This window comes from Homo sapiens, chromosome 18, assembly GCF_000001405.40.
Source record: "Homo sapiens chromosome 18, GRCh38.p14 Primary Assembly".
Classification (NCBI taxonomy): domain Eukaryota; kingdom Metazoa; phylum Chordata; class Mammalia; order Primates; family Hominidae; genus Homo; species Homo sapiens.
This window is the reverse complement of record NC_000018.10, coordinates 74,071,404-74,092,302: the sequence shown is the minus strand read 5'-3', so window position 1 is coordinate 74,092,302 and position 20,899 is coordinate 74,071,404. Positions and strand designations below refer to the sequence as shown.

At 43.1% G+C, this 20,899-nt stretch overlaps 1 protein-coding gene across 7 annotated transcripts in view; it reads left to right on the top strand.

The window, feature by feature from the left end:
• FBXO15 (F-box protein 15) overlaps positions 1–18,935 on the top strand; it is a 74,467-nt gene extending 55,532 nt beyond the window's left edge. For 6 of the 7 annotated variants that reach the window (XM_011525856.2, NM_001142958.2, NM_152676.3 and 3 more), the window contains 2 exons: positions 10,252–10,376; positions 18,573–18,935. In XM_011525856.2, coding sequence (XP_011524158.1) covers positions 10,252–10,376; positions 18,573–18,842 — 395 coding nt within the window. In that variant the 3' untranslated portion in view covers positions 18,843–18,935. Of the gene's footprint in view, positions 1–10,251; positions 10,377–18,572 lie in introns of those variants that run through there. The other variant, XM_011525860.1, reaches the window with a different exon arrangement.
• The last annotated feature ends 1,964 nt before the right edge of the window (positions 18,936–20,899 follow it).

Sequence of the window (20,899 nt, the reverse complement as noted above, 5' to 3'; positions counted from 1 at the left end):
CAAGAAATCTAAGGACTACAATAAAATGACACAGAAGATGGAAAATGAAATGGCCATGTAAGAAAGAACCAAACTGAGCTGATGTAGCTGAAAAACTCACTTCAAGAATTTCAGAATGCAATCACAAGTATTAACAACAGAATCAACCAAGCATGAGGAAAGAATCTGAGCTTAAAGACCAGCTCTACAAAAGAACTCAGTCAGACAAAAATAAGGAAAAAACAAGAAGAATGAAAAAAATCTCCAAGAAATATGGGATTAAAGAGACCAAATCTACGATGCATCGGCCTCCCTGAAAGACATGGAGAGAAAGCAAACGCCTTGAAAAACATATTTTATGATAAGGTCTGTGAAAATTCCCTCAACCTCTCTAGAGAGGCCAACATTCAAATTCAGGAAGTGCAGAGAACCCTTGTGAAACACTACACAAGAAGACCATCCCCAAGACATGTAGTCATCGGATTCTCCAAGGTCAAAATGAAAGAAAAAACATTAAAGGCAGCTGGGGGAAGGGGCATGTTACCTGCAAAGGGAGCTTCATCAAACTAACAGTGGACCTTTTAGCAGAAACCCTACAGAAAAGAATGAGTGCCTTTAGTCAGCATTCTTGAAGAAAATAATTTTCAACTAAGAATTTGATATCCAGACAAATGAAGCTTCATAAGGGAAAGAGAAATAAGATCCTTTTCAGACAAGCAAATGCTAAGAGATTTTGATACCATCAGACCTGCCTTACAAGAGGTCCTCAAGGTAGTTGTAAACATGAAAGACTATTACTGACCACTACAAAAACACATTAAGTACATAGACCAGTGACACTATAAAGCAACCACACAAATAAATATACATAGTAACTGCTGACAACATGATGACAGCAACAAATCTAGACACAGCAGCACAAATCTTGAATATAATCAGGCTAAATAGCCCAATTAAAAGGCACAGAGTGACAAGTGGATTTAGAGAAGCAAGACCCAATGGTTTGCTGTCTTCGGGACACCCATCTCACATGCAGTGACACCTATAGACTCAAGGGATGTAGAATGAGAAAAATCTACCAAGCAAACAGAAAAGAGAAAAAAAGCAGGGGTTACTATTCCAACTTCAGACGAAACAGACTTTAAACCAACAAAAATCAAAATTGAGAAAGAAGGGCATTACATAATGATAAAGGGCTCAATTCAACACGAAGAACTAACTCTCCTAAATATGTATGCACCCAACACAGGAACACCCAGATTTATATAGCAAGTTCTTAGAGACCTATGAAGAGACTTAGATAACCAAACAATAATAGTGGGAGACTTTAGTACCCCACTAACAGTATTTGATCATCAAGGCAGAAAACTAACAAAGATATTCAGGACCTGAACTTGACACTTGACCAAATAGCCATGTACAGAACACTTCACCCCAAAACAACAGAATATACGCTCTTCTCATCTGTGCATGGCATATACTCCAAAATCGACCACACAACCAGACATAAAACAATCATCAGCAAATGAAAATAAAGAAAACTAAAATCATACCAACCATGCTCTTGGACCACAGCACAATAAAAATAGAAATCAATACTAAGAAAATAACTCAAAACCATACAATTACATGGAAATTAGACAACTTGCTCCTGAGTGACTTTTTGGGAAATGATTGAGGCAGAAATAAAGAAATTATTTGAAACTAATGAGAACAAAGATACAATATATCAAAATCTCTGCGACAAAGCTAAGGCAGTGTTATGAAGGAAGTTTATAGCACTAAACACCCACATCGAAAAGTTAGAAAGATCTCAGATTAACAATATAACATCACAACTGGAGGAACTAGAAAACCAAGAGCAAATCAACCCCAAAGTTAGCAGAAGACAAGAGATAACCAAAATCAGAGCTGAACTAAAGGAAATTGAGATGTGAAAAATTGTACAAAATATTAATGAATTCAGGAGTTGTTTTTTTGAAAAAATTAAGACAGACTGCTAGCTAGAGTTATAAAAAATAGAGAAGATACAAATAAATACAATCAGAAATGACAAAGGGGGCATTACCACTGACCCTAGAGGAATACAAAAACCCTGAGACTATTATGAGCACCTCTATGCACGTAAAGCTAGAAAACATAGAAGAAATGGATAAATTCCTGGGCGCATACACCCTCCCAAGACTGAACCAGGAAGAAATTGAATCCCTGAACAGATCAGTAATGAGTTCAAAAATTGAATCAGTAATAAAAAGCCTGCCAACCAAAAGAAAGCCACAGACCAGAAGGACTCACAGCCAAATTCTACCAGCTGTATAAAGAAGAGCTGGTACTATTCCTAGGGAAACTATTCCAAAAAATTGAGGTGGAGGGACTCCTCTCTAAGTCATTCTGTGAGGCCAGCATCATCCTGATACCAAAACCTGGCAGAGACACAATTAAAAAGAAAACTTCAGGCCAATATCCTTGATGAACATAGATGCCAAAATCCTCAACAAAATACTAGCAAACTGAATATAGCAGCACATCAAAAAGCTAATCCACCATGATCAAGTAGGTTTTATCTCCAGGATGCAAGGTTGGTTCAACATATGCAAATCGATAAATGTGACTCATAACATAAAGAAAACTAAAAACAAAAACCACATGATTATCAATAGATGCAGAAAAAGCTTTTGATAAAATTCAACATCACTTCATGATAAAAACCTTCAAGAAACTAGGCATTGAAGGAACATACTTCAAAATAATAACAGCCATCTATTTCAAAACCAATATTATACTGAATGGGCAAAAACTGGAAGCATTCCCCTTGAAAACTGGAACAAGACAAGGATGCCCTCTCTCACCACTCCAACATAGTACTGGAAGTCCTGGCTAGAGCAATCAGACAAGACAAAGAAATAAAGGCATCCAAATAGGAAGTCAAATTATCCCTGTTTGCAGGCAAGATGATTATATGCCTAAAACCCCCCATAGTCTCTGCTCAAAAGCTCTTTGATCTGATAAACAACTTCACCGAAGTTTCAGGATACAAAATTAATGTACAAAAATTAGTAGCATTTCTGTACACCAACAACATCCATGCTGACAGCCAAATCAAGAACACATTCACATTCACAATTGCCACAAAAAGAATAAAATACCTAGGGGAACAACGCACACTGGGGCCTGTCGAGGGGTGTGTGTGTGGAAAGAGAGAGCATCAGGATAAATAGCTAAGGCATGTGGGGCTTAATACCTAAGTGATAGGTTGATAGGTGCAGCAAACCACCATGACACACATTTATCTGTGTAACAAACCTGTACGTCATGTACATGTATCCCAGAACTTAAATTAAGAGAAAAAGAATAAAATACCTACAAATAGGAATACAGCTGACCAGGGAGGTGAAAGACTTCTATGAGATCTATTTTATAATTCTGTGAGAATTACAAAACACTGCTCAGTGAAATTCAGGATGACACAAATGGAAAAACATTCATGCTGATGGATAGGAAAAATCAATATTGTTAAAATAGCCAGACTGCCTAAAGTAATTTATAGATTCAGTGTTATTCCTATCAAACTACCAATGACATTCTCCACAGAATTAGATAAAAACTATTTAAAAATTCATATGGAACAAAAAAAGAGCCCAAATAGTCAAGGCAATCCTAAGCAAAAAGAACAAAGCTGGAGGCATCACATTTCCTGACTTCAAACTATATTACAAGGCTACAGTAGCCAAAACAGCATGGTACTTGCATAAAAACAGACACATAGACCAATGGAACAGAATACAGTGCCCAGAAATAATGCCACACACACCTACAACCATCTGATCTTCAACAAAGAGACAAAAACATGCAATGGGGAAAGGACTTCCTATTCAATAAATGATGCAGGGATAACTGGCTAGCCATATGCAGATGATTGAAGCTGGACCAATTCCTTACACCACATATAAAAATCAACTCAAGATGTATTGAAGACTGAAATGTAAAACCTAAAACTATAAAATCCCTGGAAGATAGCCTAATAAATACCATTCTGAACATAGGACTGGCAAAGATTTCATGATGAAGACACCAAAAATAATTGCAACAAAACCAAAAATTGACAAATGGGACTTACTTTAAAGAGCTTCTGCACAGCAAAAGAAACTATCAACCAAGTAAACAGACACCTATCAAATGGGATAAAACATTTGCAAACTGTGCATTTGATAAAGGTCTAACATCCAGCATCTGTAAGGAACTTAAATTCACAAGCAAAAAAAACCCCATTAAAAAGTAGGCAAAGGACATGAACAGACAATTTTCAAAAGAAGACGTACATGCTGCCAACAAGCATATGATAAAATGCTCAACATCACTAATCATTAGAGAAGTGCAAATCAAAACCACAGTGAGATACCATCTTATACCAATCAGAATGGCTATTATTAAAAATTCAAAAAAATGACACAGGCTCACAAGGTTGTGGAGAAAAGGGAACACTTATACACTGCTGGTGTGAATGTAAATTAGTTCAGCCATTGTGGAAAGCAGTTTGGCAATTTCTCAGAGAACTGCAAAGAGAATTACCATTTGACCTAGCAATCCCATTATTGGGTATGTTCCCAAAGGACTATAAGTTATTCTACCATGAAGACACATGCATGTATCTGTTCACTACAGCACTATTCACAATAGCAAAGACATAGAGTCAACTTAAATGCCCATCAGTGGTAGACTGGATAAAATGTGGTACTTGTATACCATGCAATATTATGCAGCCATGTCCTTTACACCAACATAGATGGAGCTAGAGGCCATTATCTTAAGTGAACTAATGAACAGAAAACAAAATACCGTATGTTCTTACTTATAAGTGAAAGCTAAACATAGAGTACATATGAACACAAAGAAGGGAACAACAGATACCACCAGGTCCTACTTGAGGGTGGAGGGTTGGAGGAAGGTGAAGATCCAAAAACTACCTATCGGGTACTATGCTTATTACTTGGGTGATGAAATAATCTCTACAAACCCCTGCAACATGCGGTTTACCTATATAACAAACCTCCACATGCACACCCGAACCAAAATAAAAGTTTAAAAAAATGCCACAGCCACATTCAGCAACTACCATCCTGATCAGTCATCAGCCATCAACATTGAGGCAAGACCTTCCACCAGCAAAAAGATAATGCTTTGCGGAAGGCTCAGATGGTCATTAGCATTTTTTAGCAATAAAGTATTTTTGAATTAAAATATGTACATTATTTTTTAGACATAATGCTATTGCACATTTAAAAGAGTATAGTATAAACATAACTTTTATATGCATTGGGAAACCAGAAAATTTATGTGACTTGCTTTTTTGTGATATTTGCTTTATTCCTGTGGTCTAGAACTGAATCTGCGGTACGTCTGAGATATGCTTGTGTTTAAGTTTCCCTCTAGTACCCTGGAGAAATGCTTTTATGTAGATCCTGCATCTTTCTCCATTTATTAATACTTATTTTTGTGTTGCCTTTGTGAACAAATTCTTATTATGTTTCCATATTTTGTTAGATGTGCTCTATATCCTATAGACTTTCTGTAATATAGTTTCTATTAAAATACCAATTAAAAACTATTCAGTGCTGGCTGGGCATGGTGGCTCACGCCTATAATCCCAGTACTTTGGGAGGCTGAGGTGGGCGGATCATGAGGTCAGGAGATCGAGACCATTCTGGCTAACACGGTGAAACCCCATCTCTACTAAAAATACAAAAAATTAGTCAGGCGTGGTGGCGGGCGCCTGTAGTCCCAGCTACTTGGGGGGCTGAACCCAGGAGGCAGAGCTTGCAGTGAGTTGAGATCGCACCACTGCACTGCAGCCTGTGCGACAGAGTGAGACTCCGTCTAAAAACAAAACAAAACAAAACGCTATTCAGTGCTTACTCTGTAAGACACAATAGAAAATGTCAAGGGTATGAAAAACAAGTTATGGGCCTCAGAGGTAGGAGATTGTTTAGCTCTTTAGCAGCAGAACCTGAGAAGTGCAGGTGATCTCCTTATGAAATTCTTCTTTAATGTTTTTGAGTTTTTTTCAGTTATTTTTGTATATATCATGTTATTGTCTTTTTTATTGTTGTAATTCCAAAAATAGGTGACTTTTCGTTCCATCTTGATATTATCAAGTTTCTTGATATTAATTTTTTTTCTGTGTCTAGTTCAGATTATACTCCCCAAGAATTTATAATAGGTAAAGCATTAGAAACAGTATACTCCTTTCTGAGTGGTAATTACCTAGAAAAGTCAAAGCAGATAATTCATTATAGCATATTTATTAGTACTTGTTAGTACATGTTTTCTTGGTTTGTACATCTGATGACTTATTATGAAAGTGTTACAAATTAGTGTTTCTCATTTGATGAAATCTAATCAATTTTAAATTTCCTGGTTGTTTTTTCCTGTTTTAAAACTTTTTCTATCCCAGGTTATAAAGATATTCTTCTTTGTTTTTCCTACCATTGTTATGGTTTCAGCTTTTGCATTTCGGTTTGTTATCTGTGTTTTGTGTAAATTAGAAGATAAGTTGATGTTCTTTCCCAGTGTGGATGTCCAGTTGTTTTTGTACCATTTGTGAAAAGACTTTCTTTGCTCATCAAATCATTTTGATGACTTTGTCAAAAATCAATTGCTTGTAAAAGTGTAGGTCTATTTCTGAACCAATCTATTCCATTTTATTGATCTGTGTGTCTTTTTTTTGTTGTTTTGAGACGGAGTCTCACTCTGTTGCCCAGACTGGAGTGCAGTGGTGCGATCTCGGCTCACTGCAACTTCTGCCTCCTTGGTTCAAGCGATTCTCCCACCTCAGCCTCCTGAGTAGCTGGGATTACAGATGCCTGCCACCACACCTGGCTAATTTTTGTATTTTTAGTAGGATGGTGTTTCACCATGTTGGCCAGGCTGGTCTCGGACTCCTGCCCTCAGGTGATCCACCTACCTTGGCCTCCAAAGTGCTGGGATTACAGGTGTGAGCCACTGCACCCAGCCAATCTGTGTGTCTTTATAAATAATCCCACACTGTCTTGATTTCTGTAGCTCTATAGTAAGTCTTGAAGTCAACTTTTTTTTTTCCAAGATTGTTTTGGCTATTTTAGGTCCATAGCATTTTCATATGGAGTTTAGAATCATCTTGCCAATATTATTATTTATATAAGTATTAATTATTTATAAACCATTTTCTGAAGTACCTATTGGGATTATGCTTGTGATTGTGTGAAACTATAATAGATAAGTTTGGGTAATTGGACATCTTCACTATATTGGGTCTTCCAGTCTACAAACATGGCACATCTCCACATTCTGCTTGACAATGCACTTGACAGTCTTTAGATAGAATATTATTATTGAGATAAAGTATAGAGGGTACTTAACACACTTAGCTTGGCATACATAATCAACTACTGCATAATGTTAATATTATCAGTTCCATTCATCCTCACAAGGCCTTATCAAGTGCTGTTTGTATCCGTATTTTACTGAGTTCGGAACTTGACCGTGGTTATACAGTTAATAAATGGCTGAGCAGGGTTTGGAATGAGGTCTTTATGAGTCTAAAGGCCATGCTTACCAGTACAGTGTCACTGGAAACCAAGGATGGTGAGCCTCAAATTGTATTTTGCTGAATTTTGCAGATGGTCTTGTGTATTGGTAAGTTAAGATTAGAGTCTCCAAGAACAGAGTTTATTCTGAATGACTTAAGGAGCACGGGAATTTAATGAAGGCTATACTTGCTCATAGTCTCTCTAGGAGAGCCACACTCTGTGTTTATAGATGCAAAGCCATGCTCTGTGGCTTCTCTTGTGAAACTATCAGCAGTATAGTAACCATTAGCAGCCTCAGAACCTCTGCTCCTGCCCGCCTGAGGCGCAGGCCCCTGCCACTGCCTCTGCCAGCAGATGGCTCTTCCCGTTCTCTTCCTCCTCTCATGCTCATTTCCGACTCCAGGTTTACAGGAACACATGTGTCTCACTGAAGGAGCCTGCATCACCAGTGACCGGCTTATAAGGAGGGCTGGGAGCAGAGGCTGTGGGACTCATAGGCTGAGCCATTACTTCAAGTATTGGGAAGCCATAGTGATTCCCCAGTGTATCCTGCTTGCTAATTTATAAATAGGCTTTTCTCTTGGGAGTAGTATGAAAACAAACATGAGAATCTGAATCTGCATTATAAATTATTGGCTAGTAATTAATTAGTGCTATGTTTTGCATATTTCTTACTCTATTGTAACATAGACTCTGGACACAGAACAGGGTTTGGATCATGTTTCTGCCGTTGACCAGGGATCTGACCTTGGGCGAGTTACTGTTAACCTCTCTGCATCAGTTTTATCACCTATGAATTCAGAAAATTATATTACCCAGTTAATATTATTATTAAGGTGTTAAAGTATTCTTCTAAGCTGTTAAGTGTCTAACTCAGTGGTTGGTATACAATAAGTACTCAAAAATACACCTATTTTATATACACACACTTTCACACATCTGTTCCATGTGCAGACTGTTTAAATGTAGGAAGAGCTTAACCTTTCTCTGTCTTATAAGTGGTTACAGAGGGTTGGCGGAAAGAGCTCTGACCTTTGGAGACACCACAGTGTTATAATTGTTCTGAAGTGGGAGAATACCTGGTAATAACAAAATAACAGTCTCTGCTTCCTACAGGGATTTGAGGTTTATTAGCTCAGGCAGTTGCCACTGAGACGTTATTGGCTGCTGTATTTGGAGTGCATTTTCTGCCGTGTCCTGGGGACAAGCTGTGTGGAAGATGAGCTCCTGGTTTTCTGTAGGCGCCGTCGGCTGCCTGCCTTTGCCGCACCAGTCAGAGGCCTCCCTTGGTTTTGCACGTGGCTGCAGTAGTGCAGGGCAGAGCAGAGTCACATCTGGTCCATTCAGAATGTCATTACTGTGCCTCCACTGAGGCCTCGCTTTTCATACACTTCCTCCCTGCTTCCGTCGAGCCCTGCTGAGGTGACGAGGTGATGAGGTGACAGCAGAGCTGTTGCCTGGGAAGGGTCCGTGTCATTTGGCATTTCTTCCTATGCCTGGGGAGAGTGGAAGGGAAGCTACACAGCTCTTGCTAATTACTCAGCATTAGAGAGGAAAATGTGGGCTGCCTCTGTCCTTGGAACAGAAGTAAGACGTGGAGAAACCAGCAGTGTGGCATCTGGGCAAGGAGCTCCCGTTTGCGGGGCTGGAAACCCTGCCTCTGCGTCCTCTTTCACTTAAAGCATATTACTGGGTCACAAAAGAGGCCCCAGGCAAAGTGTGGGCTTTAACCTTCTGGTGACACTGAAGTTGGAGAACACTGTATAACATTTCTAGAGCAGAGCTTTGGCTCCCAAGGCAGCTTGGCTTTGGTTTTATTTTGTCTCATGAAATAACCAGGCCAGGGCTGGAGAACATTTGCTCTTTTCCATGATTTTTCTGTTTGCTTTGCCCTGTGACTTGCATCTTCCCTTTGTTCAGACTTCCATCTCTGGAGAATTCTCGGGTATGAGTTGTGTTGCTGTCGGTTGGTTTGTGTGAGAAGCAACTGATGGTCGCTTCTCAGGGTGCGTTCAGACAGAACCAGGAAGCTTGTGTCTGTGTGAGACCGAGTGGTGCTGCGGCTCTCCCTGCCACAAGAGGCCTGTGGCAGCAGGGCTAGTGTGCTGTGTGGGTGCGAGGGCTCCTCCGTGTGGCCAGGCTGCCAGTAGCTGGCTTGGAGCTGGCAGCAGAGGGCCAGGGTTTGGCCTCCAGCTAGGTGGGCATGTGCACGGACTCTCACTCAGTTACAAGCATGTGCAGAGGTGTTGGTTTATTTCATGTGAGTTTCTTCCACTCCTCTTCATGTTCGCCTGCTCTCCAGCCCCTTGTTTCTTTGCCATTTCTGCACCTGCTTTCTTCAGCTGTGTAATTCTAGATATCGGTTTCCAACACTGTTGGCTTACCCACATCAGAAGAACCCTTTCCTCCTTCAGCGACCACCTTTCCATCAGTGACAGGTGGCTATCCAGGCTCGCCTCAGCCAGCTTCCCCTGACTCACCTTTGACATCACCTTTCTGGGCACTTGTTAATGTTTCTGCCTCTGGGACACAGATGCATCACTCTGGCCTCAAGCCAGAGGCTGGGATTGCTGTGCCCATGTTGCCCTCATCGCTGAGGCCAGGGCTTACCAGGGTGAGGTATCCTTATAAAGTCGCCGACTGAACGTGCTTGGTTTGTCATCTTGCACTGGAAGACAGTGATTGAAACAATCTTATATCTTTTCAGGAAATATTGAAAATGGACATGTGAAGCTCATTGTTATACATTTAAAAAATAACAGAGAACACCTACCTCTTATTGGAAAAGTTGGCCTCTCGTGGAAAACTGATATTTTTGATGGCTGTATAAAGGTAAAAACAGAACCGTTTTCTTTTCTTCAAGTAACTTGATTTCTATATAATAAAAAGTCTGTTTATATATATAAATTATATTGTCATATATGTATGATGTTTCTTTTATAGTTCTGGATTTATTGTTCTGGTTTCTGAAGGTTGGTGCACATTCTGTTAGCCATTGACAGCCAGTGGATTCACTCATGAGATGCTTATTGAGTACCTTTCATTTGTCACTGAGTATGGTGGAGTTGGAGGGGCAGGTAGTCTGCAGCAGCATTTCAGAACACTGTTGATCACAGTCCCCTACTCTCTCAAAGCCCCTCTGTTTTGTGGAAAGAGAGTGGAACTGAAGGTTGGACCACGCAGGCAGCATCTACTCAAAACATCTTGATCATCCATGTACCAATTTAAAACTTATTGCAGTTATAAATTCTTAGTCCAGGATATAGGGATTTCCTTGAACTGTTAAATAAAGATTAGCCACATGGGTGGGAGAGTTGACTTAGTGGTTGGGAAGTAGCAGGGAAGGAGGGAGGAGGAGGAAGAGGAGAAAGATGTTCTCACAGTTTTGCTTTCTTCTGTCCTTGTGCCCATGGCTGCTCCTGGTTCTTGTCACTCTCCAACTTTATTTTATGGGATGAACAAGATTTTCATTGTCCCAGGGACCAGTGGGATCAATCTCCTGTGACTGCGGGGGCCTCCTGTAACATGGCTTTATACGGCGCTATGCATGCGCACCTTGTTAGAACTATTAATGATGACGACTGGGACCAAGAGTGGTGTTATCATGAAGCACTGTCCCTTGAGCCACTTGATATTTGATGCAATGAGATATTTTACAAATCCTATTTATTCATAGCAAATGTTTAAGTTTTGGTAAAAATGATGTTTATCACACACCATGTTGTTTCATGCCTTTAAGAGCACAGACCTACCTTCTTTCTTTTTCTTCAGATTTCAATAAAGCCTATAATAAAAGTAGGTACTAAGATAAAATATTCACGTCAAAATAGACCTTGAGGATCAAGAAAGGCAGAATGTGAATGTGACTGTCTTTTAAAGGGTCAGCATAATTTTTAAAAATAATTTGTTCTGTGTTTTCTGGTAGTCCAGAGAAAGATGAGAGCAGTCATTTAGTTCTCATTGGGAGAAAAAAGGGAAATGTAGTAATTATACAAAGAAAGCTTTATCCCAGTTCTGATCATTAAAAACAAAATTTCCAATGGGACTTTATGTAGGGCAGACTAAGCTACATAATGGACCCACCCTGAATAGCATCTTAGCAGCAGATGCACTCACAGATTTCTCATAGAAGTTCTCAGAGAAGCTGAAGATACGGCTTCAAAATTGGACCTTTACATGAGCTCCAAGCAGTGATTCTGTAGGTTGCTAAACCAATGTGACTGAGGTGCACAGGTGTTTAGAAAAACAGCTTGATCTGAAAGCAGGATTTTGAGTTTTTAAAGTAGAGAATGGATTGCATGTCCCTGGACAGTTTTCCCCATAAATTCCTTCTCTCAGATGGGCTTTGGGAAAAGATAGCAGATAGCTCAAAAGCTTGTACCTTCTCCCTTGGGCCTGGAGGGTAGATGTGGTTTATTTTCTGTTTGCCTTTTATGCTCTTGGATTCAGTATTAAGACTAAGCCGTCCTCAGAATTCCCAAAAGAATAAAAAGTCAGATCAGTGATGTCATATGTCTTGTATTTGCTGTGCAGCTCAGGTATTTCTCTCCAGGAATCTGATCACCCTAAGAATAGTGAAATGATAACATTTATTTTAAGAAATTGCTTGGAAGGAGTTAAAAACTTTTTTTTTAAAGCATGGACATAAGCTTAGAAAGTTTCTTAGGTACATATGACTTTTAAAAAAATGTAAAATAAAAACCCGGCTCCTTCTGGAAATTGTAGACACAACCTCTGGTGAGGAGCTTCTACTAAATAGTTTACGATGCCTGTCAGAGCATAGGCTACTGAGAAAGTACGTCACCCAAATACGATGCTGGTGGAAGGACAAAGAAGTGAGAAAATATTAATGATAATGACGGAGGATGCTGCCTAGTTGTGTCGTGTTGGTTGAAGTGATGTGCAGTCGTGAAAGGACATCTGATGTCCTTGGGACCTGCTGTTCCCATGAGAATCTCCGTCTTCCTCCAACCTCAGAGTTGAGTGACCTCCAACACTTACTGGTGTGGAGGTAATTCAGGTGGAAAGTATCTTTAGTTTGAGTTCCTAGAGCAAAAACTCAACAGATCATAAGTTTATGTGGTAAATTATTAAACTTTAAAATTCTTTAAAAATCACATTCTAAGTAGGTCAGTTTTTTATTCTTTTTTTAAAAAACTCAAAAGATACTGATAATTATTACAATAATATTATGAATGAGCTGTATTTTAATTGTGGTAAAATAAACATAAAATTTACCACCTTCACCACTTGACTTCTATATTTCAGTGGCTTACATACCTTCTCATTGTTGTATAACCATCACTACTGTCTAATCTCCAGAACTTTTCATTTAAAGATGCTTTCAGTGGCCACGTGTTAGTACTGAATCCATGCAGGACGCTTGCTCTGTAAGTGGTTACCATGCTATTTTACAAAGTCATGTTGAAACAGCTAGGCTACCCTCTCAAGGTAACCTTGCTGCAGTCTTCAGCATAAGTCAAGTAATCAAAGTGAAATACTCTCCTGCTCTGTCTCCTCCCAGCGCCTATCAGAATTTCAGATGGATGGATTTTCTTTTGGTGAGGCTTTTCCCGTATGTTTCTTTTATGTTTTTCTTTCACTCCTTGGCATTTTTGATGTTATTTTAATGTTACTTCTAAATCTATATGGAGATTGGCATCAATTTTTATTTAGACTAGATATTTCAGTGTAGTTCTGTGGTTCTGCTTTATGTAAGAACAGCTGAGTTCAGTAGAGCCTGCTGTGGGTACATCGTGGGTCAGCATGTTGTGGGTGGCCGTGGCCCATGAGAAAGGCATCCTGGCCACTTCACTTGACAAGCACTGCAGCTGCATGGGTGATTAAGGCTGCTGGTGCTGATACAACCGAAAATCGCAGGAAGAACAGAACAGTCCCACACGTGCGAGTGCTGCACTCTCCCCAGACACTGAGTTTTGAGCCTGGCGTAGTTCACTGGTCCATGGGAGCGCAGGTGAGGAGAGACTTCCTCCTGCAAGGAGGGTGAGGTCTGCCGACTGCTCAGATGTGTGCCTCCTGGACGTTCAGGGTGAGAGGGACTGATTTAGGAGAGGGATGATTGAAAACAAGTTCTGTGAGGAGAAAGAGGAAAGGGGCCAGTGGGAGGAAGGCTCATGAGAGGTTCTGACATGCATCCCCCCCCAGAAGGTTGGGAGTGATTTATTCTGGAGAAGGAACCCAGTGGAGAAAGAGATGCTTCGGACAGGATGGGAAATAAGGAGCGAGCTTCTAGAGGTGAGGGGCAGCTGGCCCGGGGAGGGGTGCGAGACCCACTGTGCCGCTGCGGCTGGTGCTGAGGCGGGCCTCTTCCTAGCTGGCTGTCCTGCCTGGGGTGGGCTAGCACCCGGGGACAGGAGGGACAGTGACTGGGGGGCATTGGAAAGGCTGCTGGGGCAGGTCGGGGGGGGGCCTTGAAACCCTCAGGAAAGAATTTGGATTTTGGTGTATCTGTGGATGTTGTTAAAGAGTTTGATGTGCCTATCGTGTGCTAGGCCATGTTTTAGGTTAGGAGGGAATTGGAGAATGCTGGACTTTGAGAACTAGGAGGGCTTCAGAGGAGAGTCAGCTCCCAGCTCTTGATCTGGCAGCAGAGGAGGTGGGAGAGCAGAAAGACTGAGACACCCACCGACGGCTTAGGGCTGTGAGCAGCGTCCTCACCAAGGAGCCCTTGTGCCCCACCGGCCGCTCCTTCCTGACTTCTGCCAGGGTTTCTCCTCCTCAACCTTCTCGCAGGTGATGGGACCCAGGGCTCCACCTCCTTCCTCCCATAGGATCTAACCACCATCTCTATGCTGGTGGGTTTGGTGAGGTTGTAAGTAACACAGTCAAGTGACTGCTAGCCCAGTGGCTAAGGTCGTGCAGGGTGGTGGGGTGTGGAAGATGGATGCACCATGCAGTCCCACCTGCTGTGTTATCTCAGAGGTGCTTAGACCTCAGAGCCTTCTCTCTAAAACGGCCACAGTGGTAATGCCCATTCCAGGAGGGCTCCGGCTGCCTGCCAAAGACAGAGCCATCTGCTGGCCCTCAGTATTGGCTTCAACTCCCCCATTCTCAGCCTCAGTGAGGCTGCAGTGTAGGGTGTTTTTTCTTATTCCCCACCTGCTCCCCACTCTGGTGTCCTCCTCGCAGCCCAGGCTCTGTGTGTGGTGGTCCCTGTCATGCAGGAAGCAGTGGGTGCTGTGGAACAGGCTGTGTGGGGCTGGTCGCTGCTGTTCCAGGACCACTGCAGCCGATTGCCTGGGAAAGGCATCAGGGAGCAAGGTCAGGTGTCTGAGGGGTTCCTGGGTGGTCTCACTGTGTAGCTCATCTGATGTGAGGGGCCTTAGGCTCTGGCGTGCACTCTCCCATCAGGGATTAGTGTGTTTCATGCTGGCTGCTTCTTCACCCATCTCTTCTTTCCTGGTGTTTGCTGCCCCTGATGCATTAGGGCTCCTGCTGTCCTACCTTAGTGTTTAATAACAACCAGCACCTCCATCACTACTCTTACCACCTCCCTCTCATTTTATCACACTCATTCATTCATTCAGCACATAGTGGTTGAGCTTCAGTGACTGTGTGCATATGCAGGTGGCCAGGGGCACGATGCTGAACCAAGCTGGCCTAAGTCCTGCCCTCTTGGTGCTTAGCATCCATCTCTACCTGCACTGGCCGGGCCGAGTCAGTTTCAGCACTGCAGCTGTATCAAGTTCTGCATTCAACACACTGGTGTTTCTGCCCATTGGGTACATGGTCAGTTGAGATGAGAGTATCAGGGAAACTTCCTCAAGGGACTGGTATTCGAACTGAATGCTGAGATGGACAAAGAGAAGATGGGAAGAGGATCTCTCAGCAGGGGAGCTTGGGTGGCTCTTTGTCAGCTGGGGGCATGGTGTGTTCAAGGGTGAAGGGTCAGTGTGGCTGGAGCACAGATGGCAAGATGTGTGCAATGAGGTGGGATGGGCGGATGAGGCCAGGTCAGGCCTTAATGGTAGCCGGAAGGAATTTGGTTCTTTCTTGAGAGCCGTGGAAAGTTGTCTCAGGGTGATATGCTCAGACTCATGTTTTGTAAAGGTTTGTCTTCTGAATATGGCGAATGAGTGGGGAGATCAGTTAGATGGCTGCCTCCTTAAAGGAAGAGCAGTCACTTGGTTTCCTAGTCTGCTTGGCATGCTATCACATATCACCATCAGCTGGGTGGCTTTTAAGCAATAGAAACTTACTTCTTACAGTTCTGGAGGCTGGAAGCACCAAGGTCAAAGCACCAGCAGATGGGTGTCTGGTGAGGGCCCTCTTCCTAGTTCCTAGAGGCACCTTCTAGCAGTGTCCTCACCTGGTAAAAGGAGTGAGACAGCTCTGTGGGCCTCTTTTATAAGGACCTCAGTCCTATTCATGAGAGCTCTGCCCCCGTGACCTAATCACCTCCTAGAGGCCGCACTGCCTAAACAGTCACATTGGTGATCAGATTTTAAGACACGGATTTTGGGACGCACAAACATTCAGACCATAGCACTTGGACTAGGGCAGTGGCAATGGAGATGGACAAAATTAAAGCGATTCGAAAGAGAGGTAAGAACTAACGGGATTGGGTGATGGTTGGCTCGTCAGGGCTAGGAGGGAGGCCCCTAGAAGGACGCCCACATTTCAGGCATGCACAGCCAGATGACTGATGATGGTTCCACCAGTCCCTGGGACGAGGAGTACCAGGAGAGCTTTGCTGGGAGGGTCCTGAGTTTGGGCATAGTCCTGCTGGACTTGAGGGACCGTTGAAAGATCCAGAAGTTGAGTACGCACTTGAATATTTAGGTCTTGAACTTAGAAAAGAAGTTCGGCCTGGAGATAAACTTTTGGGAATCACAGGCATGTTGGTGATAACTTAGGATGTGAATGTAGATGAGTTCCATTTATGGGGAGAGATTACATAGAGTGAAAATAGGGCCTAGGACCAAGCTGTAGGAACCTCAGCAATGGGAGTGGGTAGAGAGCTGCAGGGCTTGTGGGTTCTGGATGCATTTGGAGAGGTAGAATTACTCTTCACTGTTCTCTTGAAAAACTAAACACTGCTGAGAAGCAGACTGACAGATGGTCACTGGATTTAGTGGCCTTATCAAGAGATGTTCGGTCAGATGATGGAAAAAGGATACCAGGCCAGAGTGGTTTGATGAGTGAATGGGTATTAATGGACAAATCCAGCGGAGACAGCTCTTTGGAGAGGGTTGTCTGGGAAGCGAGGAAAGAGCAGGGGCCTGCGGGGCCCAGGGAGGCTGTTTCCCTCTCTCTGCCTCTCTAAGATGGGAGTTACTTGAATGTGTTAAAGACTAAAAGCTGATGGGAGGACAGAAGTAGTCACTTGAGAGGGACATCATGCCTTTGCAAGATGGGCTACGCTGCAGCAGGAGGTTACTGGGCCACACCCGGGAGGAGCAGATGAGAAACACATGTGAGGAGAGGTGGGCGCAGAGGAGCTGGGCTGTGGATCTGCAGTGGGAAGTTGAGGAAAACATCCTTCTCCCCTGTCTGTGAAGGCCGAGGTTCTCTGCAGAGATCACCCTCCTAGCAGGATGCAGAGGGCTGAGGGAGGGGATGAGGTGTTGTTCCATGAGGCGGAGAGGGAGCCACCCAGAGAGCCAGGGTGGGACCGTCAGGCCGAGCTGAGGATGGTGCAGCTGCATGGGCACCCAGCAGCTCTGCGTGCAGCCCTCCCGCTGTGCTTGGTGCTCAGGTCCAGACAGATAGAAAATAACTGCGCTCCTCTGGGGCTGGGGTTTTGCTGGACCTGGCCCTAAGGTGTGTTGCAAGGGGAGTGAGGGAGGTATGTGCATTGGCAAGAGTGTTATTCCAGCAAAGGCCAGTGAAATCTAAAGTGGAAAGGAAGAGGCGGGAGAAGGAAGGGCTGGCTAGTGGGTGGGCTAGGTCCATGGGCAGTGCTCTTCAGGCCTTTTTACATATCCACTGCGGTATGGGCATATACAGACCACACATTCATGTGCAATGAAAGCAGCGTTCATGAAATGACGTTTATGCTTAGTGTATGTAATGCATGCCGACTATGTTCTTTTTCATTTTATTTTGACAAACAGTTGTGTCCTGCTAAATTTACTTCAGGATACATTAATAGGTCATGGCTTGCAGGGTGAAAACACTGGGTAAATCTGAAGTACAGTTGTAGTGGAAGTCATCCAGTGAGTCAGCTGGAAGACGAAGGGTGGCAGTTAGAAGACAGGGTGCCTGAGGCATGGATAGTGAAAGTGGACCACTTCCGGGAAGTGCTGTGTCGGCCATGTGACTGTGGGAGTGAATAACTGAGGTCAAGTCGAGGAGGAGGTCATGGAGTTGACCAGCTCAGGAGTTGAGAGTCCAGGATACTGGAGGCTCCACCAGGGTCCCCACGGATGTTGGGATCACTTGGGATGACAGTGAGACTTGGAAGACTTGGGAGAGAGTGAGAGGGAGAGGCAGACAGCAGGGCTGGTGCCAGAGTCCTGGAAATGAGAGTGGGTGGACAGGAGGCTGGCACATGTCAGAGACAGGCATGGAGCATGGGTGCAGAGCTGCAGTTCAGAGCCTCAGAGAAGCAGGTTTCTCAGAAGAGGGGAGGGGTCGGCCTGGTGGTGGCAGTGAAGACCCAGGAACACAGGCACACTGCTTCTCAGGGTGATGCGGTGCCTCACGCTCGGAAGCGCTGACTGGTTGTTGGTGTGATTTGTGTCACATCTGTAGCCACTGTACTTTAACTTCCATGAGGAGAGGGACAATATTTGTGACACATTTCTCTGAGCTCCCAGTGCTAAGTCCTAAACTGAGCCCTGTGAGAGCTCCTGTGTATATTTGAGAATGAATATTAAGTGATGAGACACACAAAAGCCCAAGTATAATCTAGGTTATGAAGTAGGCCATGAAAAACCAATGATAGTATTCTGGATTTTGATGCCACACGCAGCATTTCTAGTGAGTTTTACAGAGTCACGATTTTCTGTGAAAATCAGGTCTGATTGGCCTTTTTATCCTTGTCAATCTGTGTTTATTTTGCAGAGTTGTTCCATGATGGACGTAACTCTTTTGGATGAACATGGGAAACCCTTTTGGTGTTTCAGTTCCCCGGTGTGCCTGAGATCGCCTGCCACACCCTCTGACAGCTCTAGCTTCTTGGGACAGACATACAACGTGGACTACGTTGATGCGGAAGGAAGAGTGCACGTGGAGCTGGTGTGGATCAGAGAGACCGAAGAATACCTTATTGTCAACCTGGTCCTTTATCTTAGTATCGCAAAAATCAACCATTGGTTTGGGACTGAATATTAGCAGTAGGTGGCAAATTATTGTTGTTATTTAGTTGTTTATTTTTGACTGGCTTTGTTCTTGGTGTTGAAAATTAAAATAAAGCAAATCTGCAGAGTGCTGTGCAATGCCTTTCATCTCACATTAGAAATTATGATTTATGGGTCATTTTTAAGTTAATGTTTGAAGGATTCAGTTATATTTTAAAAACAAAAATAACAGTGAAACTTCATATAAAAAGAAGAAAAGGTATTTACTTCTCTTCCGCCCTTCGTTAAAAATCTAAGAACTTTTACTTAAGCAAATGATCATGTGATCACTCTGTGTGTGTGTGTGTATGTGTGTGTAGGGGTGTGTTCTTACAGATAACGGTTTTTCTTTTTCTTTATTGGTAAGAAGCTCAAATGAGAAAATGTACTTAAATATTAATATAAATTTCATTATATTCACTAGAATTAGAAAGTGCTACATTCTTGACAGTCAGCAGCCATATCGGTATTTAATAAAGTTAAATAGACCAGTGGCCTCATTCACAAGGAAAGATATATCTGAAATCATAAGGAAGTTATAACTTAAAAGAGCAAGGCACAGTACAAGTCCAGTGGGGACACCAGCTCTGTGTGAGTGGGGATAGAGACGGATGAGTTATTGAAACTTCCTCTGCAGAAATATTTTAAGAAAATTGACAGATGATCAGGATTCAAATAGGGGTGATAAGTATCTAAGCCTATGTTATTTTAGGGCATTTGGTTCTACATTTGTTTTAGATTGTGTTGGTTGTTTTGATTATATTTTTATCCCCTACTTGAAAGATCCCCTCCAAGGTGGTTTTCGACGTCCTGCCATGTTCCTCCTTCTCAGGCGTGCATGAGCACATTCCCCCTCTCTGTGTTTCATTCTTCTCCTGTTTAGTGACCTGGCCACTTTCTCTTTGGAGGTATGTGTATGATAGTGAGCATGTGAGAGTGCAGAATAAAGAGCCTGAAGACAGCAATCAAGTGAAGATGGGGGACAGATATTATGTTCTTGCCCCAAAAAATGAGAGAGTAAAAGGATTTCTGCTGCTGACACCGTCCTCCACCCTCCTGTCCTCCATGACCTTGGGCCAAAGTCCTTGGGAAGAGAGGAATTTGAAATGCGGTCAGATGTTGTGAGCACTGGGCTGTGTTATTTCATGGTGTCACCAATGAGGGAATGTGGAGTGTCTTCCCCAGCTGAGTGAGCATCAGGGGAAGAAGGAGGCACTGGCCTCAGCACTGAGCCCAGATGAGGACTAGGAGTCAGGGAGGCCAGGGATGCTGAGTGCCGCTTACAGAGCTGCGTTGGAATACAACCACGAGAAAATGCATGGAGACCCCCCTGAACCCCCTGGGTTAAATTGTGAGGGACTAGATGTCCTGACAATACTGGAAACATAGTAGAGCGGGGGAAGAAGCCCTGTTCTCTACCTCCTGTTTAATTATGTTGGGATGGAGGAGGGAAGGAAGCAAGGACCTCCAGGGATGGCACAGTGGAGCTCCGTGGACATGAACGCCTGCCTTCCCTGCTAGACTGCTAGTCCTGTGAGCAGGGACAATGGTTCACTGCTTCATCTCCAGCACCTAGGAGCATGCCAGGTGCTCCATAATCGATACTCAATAACGATTTGTCAAACCAATGGAAACCGTTATCGGGATATACCAGCAGCTATGGGAGCATGAAGGAAACAGGGAGCAATTCTGACCGATGAGTCTGGGAGTCCCTTACATCTCAGGTGACATCTGAGTTCACCCTGGAAGGAAGGTTTACTGGGCAGCAATGGGGAAGGGTGAGGCGGAGGAGGCAGTGCTCATAAAGCCTTGGTGCTTTGAAGAGTCTCATGAAAACAGGTGTGCATGCCACACACAACTGAAAGATGCCAGCGGACAGCCCTGTCCCAGTGTCACTTACACATGTCTGAGATATTAATATTCAGCTTTTAAAGCTGTCTCTTATATTTGCCTCCATATTTCTAAATAATTTTAAACATATCAGATTATGAATTCTACTTTTTGTTTCTCCCAGGATACTTCAGCCCTGGAGATCCATCTCTTTTTGCTGTG